The sequence below is a fragment of the Homo sapiens genome, chromosome 2 (assembly GCF_000001405.40).
Source record: "Homo sapiens chromosome 2, GRCh38.p14 Primary Assembly".
NCBI lineage: Eukaryota > Metazoa > Chordata > Mammalia > Primates > Hominidae > Homo > Homo sapiens.
In genome coordinates this window covers 70,936,679-70,954,039 of record NC_000002.12, presented here as the reverse complement: position 1 = coordinate 70,954,039, position 17,361 = coordinate 70,936,679, and the positions used below count along the sequence as shown (strand labels likewise).

Sequence of the window (17,361 nt, the reverse complement as noted above, 5' to 3'; positions counted from 1 at the left end):
GGCAACACAGATTAAGAAATAAGAAAGGCATGAATAAATAATTGTTGGGATAAATTCACAACTAGATAAACTGATAATATTAAAAAGATGAACTATGAACAATTTTATGCAACACATTTGAGAAATTAGATAACATGAATAAATATAACTCAAACCAGAACCAACTGAAAATGATATTGAAAGCCAGAATAATCCTGAAATCTTTAAGATATTAAATAGCAATCCCAGATAGTTTTACCAGTGAGTTCTAACAGTCAAGGAATAAATAATTTGAAACTTAAGCTCTTCAAAGCCAGGAAGAGAAGGTACTGTATTTAACTCATTTTATGAGGCAATTATAGCCTTGATACCAAAATAAAATAATTATGGGAAACTTGTAGGCAATCTCACTCGTGAACATGGATGCACAAATCCTAACAAAATATTAACCCAATCTAGCAATGTATAAAAAAGACCAAGTTATAAGCCAAAATAGTAAAGAAAAGAAATGAAGATAAACATATACACATAAACAGAAATTTTAAAAGACCAAGTTGGGATTATTTTAGGGATGTAAGGCTAGTCTAATATGAGAAAATCTATTCATGTAATTCACCTTATTAACAAATTAAAAGATTAAAAACTATGAACACCTAAAAACATTTTGAAAAAAGTCAAAAAAACCCATCCATGATTAAAACCAAAACAAAAAAGAACAAAAGTACTCTTTGAAAACAGGAAATAAAAGGGAAATTTCTTAACTCCAAAAAGAATATCCTCAAAAAACCCTACATAGGCTGGGTGTAGTGGCTCACACCTTTAACCCCAGCATTTTAGGAGGCTGAGGTGGGCAGATCGCTTGAGGTCAGGAGTTTGAGACCAGCCTGGCCAACGTGGTGAAACCCCATCTCTACTAAAAATACAAAATTAGCCAGGTGTGGTAGTGGGTGCCTGTAATCCCAGCTACTGGGGAAGCTGAGGCAGGAGAATCACTTGAACCCAGGAGGCAGAGGTTGCAGTGAGCTGAGATTGCACCACTGCACTGGGTGACAGAGAGGGACCCTGTCTCAACAAAAAACAAACAAACAAACAAACCCTACAGAAAAATATGATATTCAATGATACGATGCATAAAGCATTCCGTTTAAAATTAGGAGCAAAGCAAGAATCCCTGCTATTCTCATTCTATTCAGCCTTGTACGGGAGGAACTAGCTAAGCTAATAAAATAAAATGAATAACAATTAGAAGGAAACAACTACCAAATAGAAAGCCCCCAATTCCCAAATACATTAAAGATAGAGCCAAAAGGAAAACTATAGATCAATATTTCTTATTAATATAGATGCAGAAATAAATTATTAGTCTAATCAAGCAGTGCATTAAATAAACATGTATGACCAAGTAGGATTTAATCCAAGAATGCAAGACTAGAGCAATCAACTTTAGGGAATTTGTCAATATTTGATAACAAAATTCATAATAATAGAGAGTTCGTCAACATAGATTAAAAAAGAATCCTATAAGATTATGTAAATAGAAGCCAAAAGGCTTCTGATAAAATTCAGCATCTGTTTTATGTGTGGTTTTTTTTTTTTTTGAGACAGAGTCTTACTCTGTCCCCCAGGCTGGAATGCAATGGCGAGATCTCGGCTCACTGCAACCTGCGCCTCCCAGGATCAAGCAATTCTCCTTCTTCAGCCTCTCAAGTAGCTGGGATTACAGGTGTGCGCCATCACGCCCGGCTGATTTTTTGTATTTTTAGTAGAGATGGGGTTTCACCATGTTGGCCAGGCTGGTCTCCAACTCCTGACCTCAGGTGATCTGCCCACCTTGGTCTCCCAAAGTGCTGGGATTACAGGCGTGAGCTACTGTGCCTGGCCAAGCATCTGTTTCTAATACAATTCTATATAAAACAGGAATGGAAGGCAACTACTTGAACACTAAACTATTAACCAAAACCAACATCAACATCCTTGTACATGGTAAAATGCTAACGTTACTTTCATTTCCAATGAAAATCAGTAACAGAGATGCCTATATTATAATTGTTACCTAACATTGTTTTGGAAGTTTTTGTTTATACAGTAAGACCAGAAAAAGAAAAAAGAAAATTAAACATAAACAGAGAATGTTCTATTTATTTTTATTTATCTTTTTTTTTTAAGACAGAGTTTCACTCGTTGCCCAGGCTGGAGTGCAATGGTGCGATCTTGGCTCACTGCAACCTCTGCCTCCTGGGTTCAAGCGATTCTCCTACCTCAGCCTCCCAAGTATCTGGGATTACAGGCATGTGCCACCACACCCAGCTAATGTTTTGTATTTTTAGTAGAGATGGGGTTTCTCCATGTTGGTCAGGCTGGTCTCGAACTCCTGACCTGCCTGCCTCGGCGTCCTGAAGTGCTGGGATTACAGGCATGAGCCACCGCGCCTGGCCGAGTGTTCTATTTTTTTAAAGGTGGTGGTTGAAGGTGACTGTATTCTTCAAAAATGTCAAAGAAAGGCTGTGGGAAGTCAAAGAAGGGCTGTGGGAAAATGTTCCAGATTATAGGAAGCTAGACAGACATGACAAATGCAATACCTGACCCTAGACTGGATCCTATACTGGAGTGAAAAAAAAAATGCTACATTCCAATTTATCAGCTTACCCGATATCAGGTAAACTGATAAATTGGAATGTGGATGGTAGATTAAAGTATTGTATCAGTATAAATTTCAGAAGTTGATAGCTCTACTGTAGTTATATAAAAGAATATCTTAATTCTTAGGAAATATACACTGAAGTACTTGAGCTTAGCGTACCCTCAAAAGATTCAGGAAGGCCGGGCGCAGTGGATCATGCCTGTAATCCCTGCACTTTGGGAGGCCGAGGCGGGCAGATCACCTGAGGTCAGAAGTTCGAGACCAGCCTGGTCAAAATGGTGAAACCCTGTCTCTACTAAAAATACAAAAATTAGCCAGGCGTGGTAGAGGGCGCCTGTAATCTCAGCTTCTCGGGAGGCTGAGGCAGAAGAATCGCTTGAACCGGGGAGCTGGAGGTTGCAGTGAGCCAAGATTTTGCCACTGCACTCCAGCCTGGGCAACAAGAGTGAAACTCCGTCTCAAAAAAAAAAAAAAAAAAAAAAAAAAATCAGGAAAAAATTATGCACACACAGTCACACATGGAGAGCAAATGATAGAGCAAATGAGATAATATATTAACCGTTGGTGACATGGATGTTCCTACTACTATTTTTATCTTTGCAAATTTTTATAAAATTGAAATTGTTTCAAAATAAAAAGTAAAGTAAAAGTATACTGACGGAAAAAGAGACATAATTCCCTTTATTTGCAGATTATATTATACATTTAGAAAGACTCAAGAGGTTCTGGTTTAGAAAGAAGGTTTTAGAATGAATAAGATAATTTGGCTGTTTATAAGATAAATATTTAAAAATCATTCCCCCCCTCCTTTTTTTTCTATTTTAGTAGTAACCAGTTAGAAGAGGCAACGGAGAAAACCATCCCATCTGCAATAGGGCCAAAACTCATAAAATAGCTAGAAATAAATATAACAAGAAAGGTACAAAAAAAAATTATGGAATAACATAAAACAAGTCCTAAACAATGAAGAACATTATTGTCTTAATGTTCTTAGTTACTAGCATAAAAACATTAATCCTTTTGAAAAGTATATAAATTTGATCCAACCCTAATGGATTATTGTTTATTTTAAAATTTAATAAAATTATTTTAAAGTTCACATAAATGTCTGAGAATAGCCAAAGTAGTTATGAAAAAGATCAGAGATAGAGGACTTGCCTTTTCAGATATTAAAACTTGTTATAAAGCTACTGAAGTCAAGCAGTAAATTGATATGAGGTAGACAAATGGATCAGTAGGAAAGAAAAAAAGTCCAGAAGGAGATCCCAGATTTTATAGGACTATTATAGAACAAATGTTGTATATTAATTAATTCTCAGAGGGGAAATAATATATAGAACATAAGAGGATATCTAGTTAGAAGATAACCACATCATAAACCCAAATACATTCCAGGCATGTAAAAAAAATTTAAATATAAAGTAAAAACAATTTTTAAAAAATACTGGAAGAGCTTTTCTTCTTTCCTATCTTTCTGAATAATCCAATTAAAAGACAGATGAGCAATGTCTTTAAGCAAGACAAGAAATTCAGAAGGTATAAACAAAAAATATTTGATCATATGAGTATTTCAAACTTCTGTATGGCAGAGACACAATAGATGAAATCTTTGTTTCATTTATTGTTGCAAAAGATAGCCTGTGAGCAATAAACAAGGAGCTCCCGTATGCACAACTTGCTTGGTAGGAAGATTTCACGGAGAAGGAAGCAAAATCAAAATGGTAAACATATGGACAGACACTCAACTTTCCTAGTTATCAGAGAAATGTAAATAAAAGCGAGACAGTACTAGTTTTCATTTATTAGATAGGTAAAACTACAGAGAGAACATATTCAGGGCCAGCAAGGATGTGGGGAAGTGGGTCCTCTCATACCTGGTTGGTGGAAATGTGAATTACCACAACCCTTCTGGGCAAGCCATCTTGCCCCAAATTGTCAATATCTAATTTGAAATAAAAAAGTACTTGAACCAGCAATTCCACTTCTGGGAATCTATCCTATAACCACAAAAGCGTCCGTTTAAAAGGGATACAATATTGTACTATTTGTAATGGCAAAACCTGAGAACATACGAATGTCTGTCAATAATGGGACTATTGAGTAAGTTACAGTACATCCATACTATCGCCTGCTATGCCAGTATCCAAAAGAATGCGTAAAATGTGTATCCGCTGACACTGTCAGTGGATCCACTGTCAGTCCCTTGGCTCTCAAGGGACTGACCCCGAGGTCAACCTCTAACATATTTGCCTGTGTTTGAGCGTATTCAGCAGGGTCTTTCGGGGCTGAGAATAAAGCGGTTAGGGGCAGATAGTTAACTTTACGTGTCTTTCCTCTTTTTCACTAAGTTACAAGGAGCATGTATTATTTTTGCAATTAAAATATAATACATTTTTAGGACATGTTACAGCACAGTGCTGGTGATTATCATCATCATTACTATCGTTATATCACCTACTGGCCACAAACTAGTGACCTTAAGGGCTTGCGGGTTGGGGCGGAGGGTCCAATTCCCCAGCAAGGTGTGACCAAGTAGGGACCACTCCGCCAGGGAACCCCTGCTGGTCGAACTTGAGACTAGGTTTGCAGCCCTGACAATCACACGGAAGGGAGCGCTACCTTGAGTCCTCCCTTGTCCTGTGAAGAGGATGCCAGGAAGGTGACCTGTGGTTCCCCAAACCACCCCTCAGCCTTGCGGAGTGGGGGCTTCAGCACTAGGCCGGCCGGGGAGGAGGGCTCCGAGGTGGGAGGAGCTCCGAACACCCAGGCGTCTTGGGTTCTCAACCACAAGAGGGAGCCCAGGAGCACGGACAGCGAGGGCCTGGGAAACGCGTGGAACACACGTCCCGGCTCGTTTTCCTCTCCCACTCTGATAACCTGTGTTTCGATACGAAACGGGCCCTGCCTCATTATTTGTCATCTCCCTGGAGGTGACGGAGGGCTGTTTCAACCTCAGGGGAAAAGTTGCTGTACAGAACACAGGCCAGAGTGTGCCCCAAAGAAATCAGGCGGTGGAGTGATTTAAAAGTGATCATTTTCTGTAGTCCTAGCTACTCGGGAGGCTGAGGCAGGAAAATCGCTTGAACCCGGGAGAAGAAGGATGCAGTGAGCAGAGATCGTGCCATTGCACTTCAGCCTGGCGACAGAGCAAGACTCCGTCTCAAAAAGAAAAAAAAAAAGTGATCATTTTCATGTGAGTTTATGTGGGTGAGAGAGGGAGGGTGGCAGGAGAGGAGAGTGGAGAGGAGAGTGGTGCGTTCTGTGTCCCTGAAGGACAAAATCAGAGAAAATGAACTTTAAATGGCAGAAATTGTGGTCAGATCTGGGGAAGGGCCATCAGGTTTTCACACTCAGGCATGGAGGGTGTAGTGTCTGGAACCTTTAGGAAGAGCCCCAGGCTCTAAGTGTGTGCTGGATGTTCGTCGTTATTGTTGTTGGTGGTGGGATCTCATGACCAGTTATGGCAGTGGGTACCTGGGAGAATTCCCGTGGGGGATAGCTAGTCCAGGAGCTTGTATCTTAAGGGGCCCTATTTCCCAGCCGCATACTGAGCAGGCCTGATCCCATCAACTCGGTTGATGTCGGTTACTAAGAGGGCTGCAGGAAGAGGGCATGACTCAGTGCAATGTAACCCCGTGCTGGAGATTCAACTGAGCTCTCAACCAGCAAGTGGCCAGGCACAGGGGAGCTGCTGTCTACACACGGAGGACTGGAAGTTCTTAGCAAGCCTGTCGGGATTTGTGCACAGGAATGCTGCCTCTAAGGTCCCTCCTGCTGACAATGGCCAGGGCAGTGCGGAGGCTCCTCTTTGGAAATTGTCTTCAGAGCTGATGCAGACTCTTTTGAAAGCAGCCACAGACATTGGGGATGGAGTCTGGTGGTTAAGGTGAGTGCTTACTCCAATTCTCAAACAGGGACCAATTTGAATCACAGACTACAGGAGTCAGAAGATTCTCTAGAACAGAGGTTCTCCGTGTGGTCCCCATACCAGCAGCATCACCTAGGAACTTGATAGAAATGTACATTCTTGGGCCTCCTACCCCAGGCATGCTGAATCAGAGCTCTGGGGTGGGGCCTAGCAATCTGCCTGTTAACAAGCCCCCTGCACCCCTGATATTCTGATGCTTGTTCAACTTATACAAATCAGAGAGTTAGACTTTTCTGGGTCACGAACCCTGAAAAATCAGACGAAACTGTAGAAACTCCTACCAGAAAAATGCACAGGCACATTCATGCATACCTTCAAAGGTCTGCACACAATTTCAAGGGCCTAATTCCTTGGGCTAAGAACCTCTGATCTACACAAAATTCTTCCCTCAAATGTTCTTACATTTGAGGACGGAAGCAGGAAGAGTAATTGCCTGTGTGATTCAATGTGGGCAGAAGGTGGCGCTGTAGAAACAGAATTGTAGCATTTGCCAAATCCTGGTAGAGGGAAAGGGGTAGGGGCAACGGAGAGGGATGGGGAGAGGTGCCTCCACCACCCAATTATTTTTCTCTGCCAAAGCTACAGATGCATCCGATAGTCGCAAAACCACAGGTCTGGGGACCTAGTTCTGGTTTCCTAGATCGGCCTCATTTTACAGTGGAGAAAATGGACACCTGTATAGGTTCCGACTCCATGCCACACTGGGTCCCATGGAGAATGGCAGGTCTGGTGGAGAGTGTGGTGGAGGTGGAGAGGGGGCAGGAGGTGGCACCAACTGTTGAATCAGGCTTATTAGCATTTCTGCATTCCAGGCAGAAACATTGCTGGCTATTCTCAAGGGAGAATAATACTACATTTGTCTGATGTGAACCTCACAATAATCCTATTATTATTTAATAGATGAGGAAACTGGGATTTACAATCCGAGATTGATGGTTCTCTAACTTGAGCATCAGTTCACCTGGAAGGCTTGTGAGGACAGACTTCTGGGCCCTACCCCCAGAGCTTCTGATTCTGTCAGTCTGAGGTGGAGCCCAAGAATTTGTATTTCTAACACGTTCCTGGGCAGTGCTAATGCTGTTGATCTAGGGTTGGCATGTAGCTAGCAGAAAAGAGTGGGATGGATCTGGGATTAAAATCCAAACCCAGTGTGCTGCACTTAACTACTCAGCCACACTTCCTCCTGGGGCGTCCCTTACACTGGGGGGTCAAGTGGTAATGTCCGTATGAACTCAGAATCTGTTTGTTAGCAAAGAATGGGTCTGATTTATTTAATATTGTTGGCTCAGGTTTTGACAGGTGCATAGCTAGTCATGCTAACATTTATTCATTCATTTATCTCATTAATGTACTCACCTTTCCTTTGAGCAAACATGCTGAGCACCTACTATAGCCTATGTGTTCAGTAAAAATGCTGTGTTGGGCTTCTGGAGCTGAAGATGAACAAAACACAGTTCATGGCCAATAGCAGGGCACGGTGTGTGTGGGGAAGGGTAGGGAGGAGATACATGGCCAGATCTTGACCAAATACCTCAGTGGATGCCACTAATAAAACCACAAAAAGTAGAGAAGAGGGAGAGGCATCCAGGAGAAGGTGACCTCTCAACCCTGGGGATGAGTCAGAGGGAGGGAATAGGGGGAAGTGTAGTCTAGGAGGCAGAGGGAAAAATCTGTGCACAAAATTACAGCTAGCCAGGAGCAATAAGTTCTAGTGTTCTATACCACAATAGGATGACTGTAGTTAACAACTATATATATATATATATATATATATATATATATATATATATCTCTTCAAATAGCCAGAAAGAGGATACTAATATTCCCAACACAAAGAAAGGATGCTGGAGATGATGGATATGCTAATTGCCCTGACCTGATCACTATGCATTATATGTATCAAAACATCACTGTGTACCTCAGGAATATGTACAATTATTGTGTGTCTATTATAAAATGCACAGACACAATCCCCCATTCTTTGTCATTCCTTTCTACATACTCTATCCTCTTGTCCAACTAATTGTGAGAAGGGTTCTTTGCCTAGAACCTATCTCAGAGTCTACAGAGAGAACTCAGGGCTTCTGTGATCTTGAATGGGAAAGTTACATTTTTACATTCATTAACGTTTACGCAAATTTAGTGTTTCCTCTAGTTCTGAATGTAAGGAACAAACCACGGTAGAATTAGCATTTCCACGGTACCTGTGACTTTGTTACCATCAGAAATCACAGATATTTTCATACCACATTACAGTCGTTGCAGGTATCTCAAAATAGTATTTGTGCTCATCACTGCTTTAAAATTATAGCAGTGAAACTGGCGGTGACATCTCGTAATTTAATTTGTTAATAAACATACATTACTGATCACATTTTTAAAAAATGACATGCAAGTGCCCAGAGATCTCAAATGGCAGCCCCATGCAGACACTATTTCAGGTGTTGGTTTCTACACAGGGAAGGGAGAGTGATGAGAGTGAGTGGAAAGGCTTGCAGGCACCCTCATAGAAAAGACCTGTAAGCAGCTGGGCACGGTGGCTCACGCCTGTAATCCCAGCACTTTGGGAGGCCGAGGCGGGCGGATCACCAGGTCAAGAGATCGAGACCATCCTGGCTAACACGGGGAAACCCCGTCTCTGCTAAAAAACAAATAATCAGCTGGGCGTGGTAGCGGGTGCCTGTAGTCCCAGCTACTCGGGAGGCTGAGGCAGGAGAATAGCGTGAACCTGGAGGGCGGAGCTTGCAGTGAGCCGAGATTGCGCCACTGCACTCCAGCCTGGGGGACAGAGTGAGACTCCGTCTCAAAAAAAAAAAAAAAAAAGAAAAGACCTGTAAGCTGAGGGCACTGGAGAGCCCTGGGCAAATTTGATGCAAGGGTCAGGTCTGAAGGGCTGGAGGATGGAGACAGGATAGGAGGGTGCCAGGCTGGGAGCCCAAGGCCATCGCCATCACAAGGTAGCAGTGGGGTGGGAGGGAGCTACAGACATGGGCGCTGGCAGGTGTGGGGTCTGGGACAAGAGGGGTCAAAGGGGCACCGAGACTTCCAGTTTGCTCAGCTAGGAGGTGGGGTGGGAGGCTGAGGGAGTGGGGCTGGTTGGTGGAGGGAGGATAAGAGAGTGATCTTGTACCTTTGCAGGGCTCTTTATGGCTCAAGAATTCCCAACCCCAGGACTCAAGATACTGTCAGTGTCTGCCAGTTTCCCAGGGGCTACAAAATAGCCCACAGCCCACTTACCTTTGGTGGGGCCCACTTCACTTACCACCCATGTTGCTGAGACTGAGATATTCCAAAGGCCTTTGGAGGCCATCAAGATCCCTAGAAAATTTAGTTGGCATTGACTTGCCACCTCCTCCTCTTTCCCGTTAAAAGAAGATCCTGTGAGAGTCGAGGGTGGGGAGAGTCTAGCCCTCGAGGAGGTTAGGTACAGCCGTGCTGTGGTCCAGCCTTCCTCTGAGGAGGTTAGGTACGTCCATGCCACTGATAGGGAAACGGAGGCAGGACAGCTTGTTAGGGATAGTAGGAGGTTTCCCAAGGCCCAGGGCTGGGCCTCCATGGGGTTTTTATGGTTTTTACTGAAAAGGCAGGGAGGAGAAAGCTTGGACGGCTGGGGATACAGCTAGGGAAGGAGAGTGGGAGTGGGTGCCTGGATGGAGAGAACAGAGCAGGCCCTGGGGGCCATGGAGGGAAAGGGTAATTTAGAAGAAATCCTGCAGGGCAGGGGAGAGGCGCCCTGGGATTTGGCCTTAGTGCCAGGGAGGCAGCAGAAGAGTCTTACCTTGACCCGGTCCAGCACCACCAGGGGCCCGTTCACGCTGCACACAGTCCTGTAGGCTGGGGGAGGGGCGGGGGTGAGTAGGGGTCTCACCCCAAACACCCTGCTCACACACACAGAGGCATCCTCTGCCTTCCCTTCCTCTCTCCACACCCCACCTCCTTCCCAGCCTGGGCCGTCAGGGTCATTAGCTGTGACAGGGCCAGCCACCATTGCTGTAAGGGTCATGCCCCTGCCCGCAGGGCCCCTGCTGCTCGGACACCTGCAGGAGGCTGGGGGAGGGCCAGGCAGAGGGCAGAGGCCTCCTCAGAGTCCGCCCCCACCACACAGAGGCCTCTCATCCCTGAGGCTGCTTCCCCTCTGGCTTCAACCCCCACCTCACCCACTCCCTCCTCTCTCACTCCAAGCATTTTCCAAAAGCTCCTGGCCCCCGGCTGTGGCCGAAAAGTGCCCTCCTCTGCCCTCACCAGGACTGCATTTCCCTCCATTCACCCCACACTGATTGAGCAGTGTGTGTGTGTGTGTGTGTATGTGGTGTGTAGGGGGTGCAGACGTCAGTGAGAAAAACCAGACGGGGCCTCTGCTCTCATCACAAGGTTCCTGGACTCCCCAGGCTCACTGGGTGCTCAGCATGGGAGGGGAGGGAGTGAAAAGGCAAGGGAAGGAGGGAAATGCCTGCAGATGTGGCAGCTGCAGAGACCCACACATGGCAAATGAGCTCAGCTTGCATAGGGAATTGGGTTAGATGCCAAAAAATACTTCCTAACTCCCATAGAAGAAGCTGTGGACTTGCGGGAGGCAAGCCTAGTTTTGGTTCTGCTAGAGGCTGGCTGAGAGACCTGGGACAGTCCCTTGCCCATAGTCCTGACCAGTGCCCTTCTCTGAGGTTCTTGTGATGCACCAATGAGATGAGACACCTGAGATGAAGGCATTTGGCAAGGTGGGCAGGGGGTCTGTGAGGCCTCTGGGTCAGCCACAGGCTGGCAGGATGCAGAGGGGAGTGGCCCAACCCCTCTTTCACAGGCAAGGAAAATGGGGCCCAGAAGTGTGAGAAGCCTTGCCCAGGGCCACACAGCACATCTGTAGCAGAGCTGGGGCTGGGAACCCACCCTGTGCTTCTTGCTGGACCACACTGGTTCTCGGTTCACTTACCCTCTTGCTTTGGGCAAGCCTGGCCCCGAGCCACCCCATGCCAAAGAAAAACCAAAAGTCCCTCCCCTTCCCAGTCTGGATATGTGTGGTCAAGCTTCTTCTTTTTGTTTGATCTAAGCTCTTTTCACCAGGACTTGGACTAGGAAGATCAACTGGGCACGGTGATTCTTGCACAGATTTTTATAAGGATCCTCCAAGTGTAACAACCATTTGGAAAACTCCGGGCCTTGAGGACAGCCAGAGAAGATAAGTTCAACTTGCACTTTGCCAGAGCAGGGGATCTCCCTCAGCTCCCTGCCTTCAAACCTACCTTACAGACCTGCCTGGCCTGCACCTGAGCCACCCTCTTCTTCCTTCCTATTCCCACTAAGGAGGTGTCCCTGCTTCCTTCATAGTGGGTCCTTCCCCTGCACCGGGAAACAGGCCCTAGAGATGACTCCATGGGGTGAAGGACCAGAGCCTCCTTGCCTCTCTCTCTGTCTCTCTCTCCCTCTCTTGTCTTCCCATGAAGCTCTGATGTTTCCAGTACAAAATAAACCTCGCTCAGTCCCAGTCCTTCTCCAGTTCCTCCCCTCACAAGCATGGCCCCCCACTGCTGGCTTTCCTTCCCCACCTTCCACCCTCTCCTTGGCCTTCTCCACTCTGGCTTCAGTGGCCTCCGATGGCTACACTCAGAGCCTGGGTGCACTGTCCTTTGGAAGCTTCCCTCTGGGGCCGCCTGTCAGCCTCCTCTGAAGACTCACACTCCTCGCTCTCAGACCTTTGGGTGCTGGAGGACTTCGAGGTTTGGCCTGGCTCTCCACTTCTTCCTCTCCTTTCCTCTGAGATCTGCCTTCTTCCTTCCCTCCCTGCTTCCTTTCTTCAAGCATATCTACTGCATGGATGCCTTCTATGTACTAAGCTAGGCAAATGAAAGTGACAAATGAAAATGTGAAGTGCCTACAGGCTAAAAGAAGGATACAGAGCAAATAACATAATTACAAACTGCAGTGGGTGCTCCTAAGGGAAAGATCAGGATGGGTGAACGAGAGTGGGAGGGAAGACCAGACTGGGTGCGCTTGGAGGAAGCATCTTATGGGAAGGGCCGTTTGAGCTGAGCCTTCAGGGTCAAGGGGTGCCAGCCCCCAGGGAGCTGGGGAAAGGGCACTTCTGGCAGAGGAGAGAAAGGACTCATCCAGGGCCTTCGTGGAACAGAAAGAGGGGCAGTGGGCTGGCATGCACAGGCTCGCTTCAGGTGCAGTAAGACCTGTCACCTCCAGGAGGGCAAGACATCATCTGTGGTGCTCATCGTTGTGTCCCACTTCATGGAATAGTGCTGGGAATATGGTACACACTCAAGAAATATTTGGACAGCTACAGTGGCTCACACCTGTAATCCCAGCACTCTGGGAGGCTGAGGTGGGTGGATCACTTGAGCCCAGGAGTTCGAGACCAGCCTGGGCAATATGGTGAAGCCTCGTCTCTACAGAAAAATTTAAAAATTAGCTGGGCATGGTGGAACGTGCCTGTGGTCCCAGCTCTCAGGAGGCTGAGGTGGGAGGATCACCTGAGCCCAGGGAGGTTGAGGCTGCGGTGAGCTCTGATCATGCTATTATTGCACTCCAGCCTGGGTGACAGAGTAAGATCCTGTCTCAAAAAAAAAAAAAAAAAAGAAAAAGAAAAAGAAAAAAGAAAAAAAGAAGAAAAAGAAATCTTTGTGGATGGATTATGAAAGGTGTTAACTGACCCCATCTGCTCCTTCTCATACTTCCCACATCAGAACCATTGTGTGCCCCCTCCCGACCTTCCCAAGCCTCCAAACCAAATGAGAGTCCCATTGACCAGCCTAAAGGGTTGCACCCCTAGCACCAGCCATACTTCCTGAGAAGGCAGAGAGTAGAAGAGAAAGAGGATGTACTGGGCTAAGGGGCTGTTGGGCATAGGAAGACTCCTCAACGAGAAAGGGTAGGAGACAGAGGCTTGGGCATTACCCTTCCCATCAATTAAAAAAAACTCCAAACAGCCACAGCACTCCCACACCCACATGGTGTTTGGATCAGATTGTCTGGATTGCTAGTGGATTGTGCAAGCAAAGGGATGCAGGGCAGGCAGGAGAGACCCTCATTTTTATAAGCCCCCGGGAGAGCTGGCATCTTGCATGCCACACCTGCCAAAGGGCTGCGCTGGGGGAAGAAAGCAGTGATGTAAAGATGCAGGGTGGGTGGGCTGGATAGGGAGGTGGGGGTGTGGGAGGGGATGGGGCCCAAGGACCAGAAAAGTCCAGGGAATCATTTCTAATTCCACTGCCTCAGGAGACAAGTCTTTCAACTTCCTCCCTTCCTTCACAGCTGCTCCCCCACTTCACAGCCCCTGTCATGTAGAATCCCCATTAGCCCTGACATCCAGCAACTCCACCTGGGAGTGGGGGCAGCAGCAGAGTGGGGGACAGAGGATTAGGGGATCCACACAGCCCTTCCCTCAGGAGGAAGGGCTGGGCTGGAAGGGGCCTAGAGGCAGCTGCAAAGTGCTTGCTGCAGGTCCTCTGGGAGTCAGATGCCTTCCCCGGCCAGGCCGCTCGGGTGACCGGGGTGAGATATCGAAGCTCAACATCTTAGCACATCAGCCTCAGCTGTGAGTTGCCTTCCTGGGCTTCTCGCAGCCTCCAGGCCTGGCTCTGGGTGAACACATCGCTTCATGGCCTGGACCCATCATTGCAGATAATCCACTTAGGCGGCTGTTTCTGTTCAGCATTGGACTATGCCCATCCTTCAAGGCCTTGCCCTTGACTGACTACTGCAGCCCACTGGGTCCTCTCCCCACTGCTGTCCCACGGTACTACAGACTGGGACCCTAGAGGGATGTCTCTCCCGTCAGATGTCTTAGAGCTCTGCCTCTCCCCTGTTAAGCCAGCCTGATCTTTTCTTCTAGGCTGTTTGGTTTGGACACAGCCAAAATGGGGGCTGAGCAACAGAGGTGTCCTTGACTGCAAGCCGGTCCTTTTGTTTGTACACTGCCGCCCCTACCTCCGTGTGTCCCTTGCATGGAGTGGCAAAACGAGGCCCAGAAAGTGGGCTAGTTTCTGGCAGGACGCACCACAGTTCAAGACGGTATCCTGCAGCGCTCAGCGATTATGGCCCACTCTGCAACCCTGGGATGTTCGCCTTGACCCTGGAGAGGGAAGCGGGTGCATTGCCACAGGCAGAGGGCTGGATCAGAAGACCCAAAGGGCGCTCCTTCCATGGGCCTTCCAGAGACTTTGCAGACACTCCCTCCAGCTGCCCGGCCCACCCCCTCTCCATTGTCTTAGCTGACACTTTGGGTTGCGCTCCGGACTTCTGGCTGGTGGAGCGCCTCCCTGCCCCCACCTCCCTACCGCCTTTTCTGTCAAAGGCTCAGCGGGGCCCCCGCGCGGCCCACTAATTAGCGCTGGCCCAGCCACACCTGCAGCGTCCTGGGAGAGGGCTGAGACAGGCGCCCATGCGTGAGGCCGGGATGGGGGCAAGCCCGGGGCAGCAGGTCCCGCACCTCCTCCCTGATCCCGCTGGAGGGATTAGAGGAGGGAGGGCAGGGGCTGGAAGCTGAGGGCTCTTCAGCCCAAGACCCTGCTTGTTGGGACTCTCTCCGTGTAACTCCTTCCCCTTCCAGTTGAGGAAACCGAGGTGGGGAGGCAAAGACAGTGGTTTGGCACTCAAGCTCCTGGGGGATCTTCAGGGATCTGACCTGGCTTCATCCCTCCAACCAGGCTGCCAGCTTGTCCTTCCTGACCTTTGCTCCTGCTGGGCACCTCCACCCTCCAAGCCCAACATCTTCTGCCCAAACAGATGAAGCTCCAGGATACCTCCTCCCCAGCCGGGAGCCAAGGCCCTTGGGGAACCATTCTAGCTCCACGGGAGGCACAGGGGACCCTTCTTTCCCAAGGTAGATGTTGGCAGGGTCAGCTCCCCAGGCTGCCTCCACTCTTTCTAGTGTCTCCTCCTTTCTAGCCAATCCTCTCTCAGCCACTGCAGTGAAATCAGCCTTAAAGTCTCAGGCCTCTTTAGCCCACCTCCCCCGGGGGAGGGGAATGCCTAAGTCACCTGGACTCACCTCCACCGTGGCCCAGCGAGCACTGGGGCCTCCCTGCCCTTAGGCACCCCCAGCTTTTCTCCCAGAGTTCTCCTGTCTGGGAGTGCTTACAGACCCAGGGTAGGAGGCCAGGCTGGGGAGGAGACAGGTGGAGAGGGACAGAGTGGCCCTGCCTCTGGCGTACTGAGGGTGCAGCCCTAAATTTCCAAACCCTTGCCAGCCCTGCGCCTGTCCACAGGCCCCAGGGAGAACCACCCCCCTCATCCCTCCCACTCCCAGAGCCTGAGGAGGAAGTGAGTGAGGCGGGGAGGGGATTGGGAGACACTGTGGATGAAGGGACACACCAAGGAATCCCAGCCTTCCCCTGGGGGTGGGAGGGCATCTGGGCTGGGCTGAGGCTGGCCCGGTGCATCCTGTGAGGATACTTGATAGGCAGCAAAAGTAAAGGCGCTGGCAGGGAGCAGAGCCTAGAGGGGCTCCCCTGCACTGACCTTTGCTCTGGGTCCACTGTTGGGTTGTTTGGTGTGAACACATTCTCCTGGGTGGAGGCCATATAGAGCCAGCATCGAGGGAAGCATGCAAACATGGGGGGCGGGCACAGCCATCCCTGGGTTCCAGCCTGGGTCAGAACCTCCAGGGCATGTTGACTATACATAAGGGGCTGGGTGGGAAAGAGCTGGCTGGAGGTGGCTCCAGGCTTGGGCCAACCTGCCCAGAGGAGTGTGGGGTTAGATGGTACCTATAGGGTCCCTGGGTATCAGGAGGTGGGGGCACTTTCCAGGAAGAAGGAAAGCAGAGCATGAAGGTGCAGATCACACACCACACTCAGCACCCAGCAACTCCCGGGTGCCTGCAGGGAGGAGGGACGGCCTGCAGGGAGTGGGGCTCATCACAACAGACTGGCAAGAGTCACACATGCCAGCTCAGGGCTCCAGGCCTGGGCTCTGGACCCAAGGGGGCCCAGTCACTGCATATTTCTGGGCCTTGGTGACCCTAGCTTTGGCCTAGGGAGTATCCGGACCTCCTATCCTCCCCCGAGCTCCATGGGGCAGGGCCTACAGGCCTTGCTTGAGAAATCTGACCCACCCCATTCTCACCATTTCTTCTTAGCTGGAATGTGCTCCACCCTCAGCACCTGCCTCAGGCCTCAGGAGGTGCCCCACACCCCAGGGCTCTCCTCCCATGCGCCCCCGGGCCCCTTTACTCTGATTTCACCCCTCAGCTACCCTCTGAGTTCACTCCACCTCCTCTCCTGGCCTGGATAGCAACAGAGGAACAGAGGGAGGTGGGGTGGCTGCATCAGGCTCACTTCCCCTCACACCACACTCCCTGTTAGGAGCCTCTGGCTCTGCATAGCTGTGGCGGGCCATGCTGGTTTACTCCAGTGAGCCTCTGGCTCTGCATAGCTGTGGCGGGCCATGCTGGTTTACTCCAGTGAGCCTCTGGCTTTGCATAGCTGTGGCGGGCCATGCTGGTTTACTCCAGTGAGCAGGGCGGCCTGAGAATTCACCAGGCCAGGGAGAGTGACCTTGGACAAGGAGATGCAGGGGTTCCCTTTGGTCCTCTGGACCTTGCCCCAGACATCTGGGCCACCCTTGCAGGACAGGCACAGGAGCCACAAGTAGGGCCTCCCCTCTGAAATTGACAAGGGTACATCCCAGCACCTGTAGACACTTCCATGCCCCACACCTGGATACGCATTCTTATCCCAGCTGTACACACACTCACCATACTCAGATATGTGACACTGCCAGAACACATACACAAGTGTTCTCTCCATGAGTGCACATGCACACACGTACATCACACCTAAGTGCACACACACACACCTTTGCCCTGAGT

General features: G+C 48.8%; 1 protein-coding gene and 1 long non-coding RNA gene across 4 annotated transcripts in view, besides 2 other annotated features; one reads left to right on the top strand and one right to left on the bottom strand.

Moving 5' to 3' along the window:
- The window catches only part of ATP6V1B1 (ATPase H+ transporting V1 subunit B1), a 29,532-nt gene that overhangs the window by 11,392 nt on the left and 779 nt on the right, over positions 1-17,361 (bottom strand). Inside the window, exon 2 of one of the 2 annotated variants that reach the window (NM_001692.4) lies at positions 10,327-10,382. In NM_001692.4, the coding sequence (NP_001683.2) occupies positions 10,327-10,382 (56 nt within the window). Of the gene's footprint in view, positions 1-9,810; positions 10,273-10,326; positions 10,383-17,361 lie in introns of those variants that run through there. The other variant, XM_011532907.3, reaches the window with a different exon arrangement.
- On the top strand, positions 5,429-12,027 carry ATP6V1B1-AS1 (ATP6V1B1 antisense RNA 1). 2 transcript variants are annotated; one of them, NR_110273.1, is made up of 3 exons: positions 5,429-5,813; positions 6,369-6,506; positions 11,607-12,027. It is a non-coding gene; the product is annotated as an ATP6V1B1 antisense RNA 1 (long non-coding RNA). The 2 variants fall into 2 exon arrangements; NR_110274.1 differs by lacking the exon at positions 6,369-6,506.
- Positions 13,856-14,695: an enhancer, noted in NCBI's record as "H3K27ac-H3K4me1 hESC enhancer chr2:71166475-71167314 (GRCh37/hg19 assembly coordinates)". NCBI's record gives its function as "activates a minimal SCP1, AML or CMV promoter by ChIP-STARR-seq in naive and primed H9 embryonic stem cells {active_cell/tissue: H9 hESC(naive and primed)}" and the evidence as "EXISTENCE:reporter gene assay evidence [ECO:0000049][PMID:30033119]".
- Positions 14,696-15,536: an enhancer, noted in NCBI's record as "H3K27ac-H3K4me1 hESC enhancer chr2:71165634-71166474 (GRCh37/hg19 assembly coordinates)". NCBI's record gives its function as "activates a minimal SCP1, AML or CMV promoter by ChIP-STARR-seq in naive and primed H9 embryonic stem cells {active_cell/tissue: H9 hESC(naive and primed)}" and the evidence as "EXISTENCE:reporter gene assay evidence [ECO:0000049][PMID:30033119]".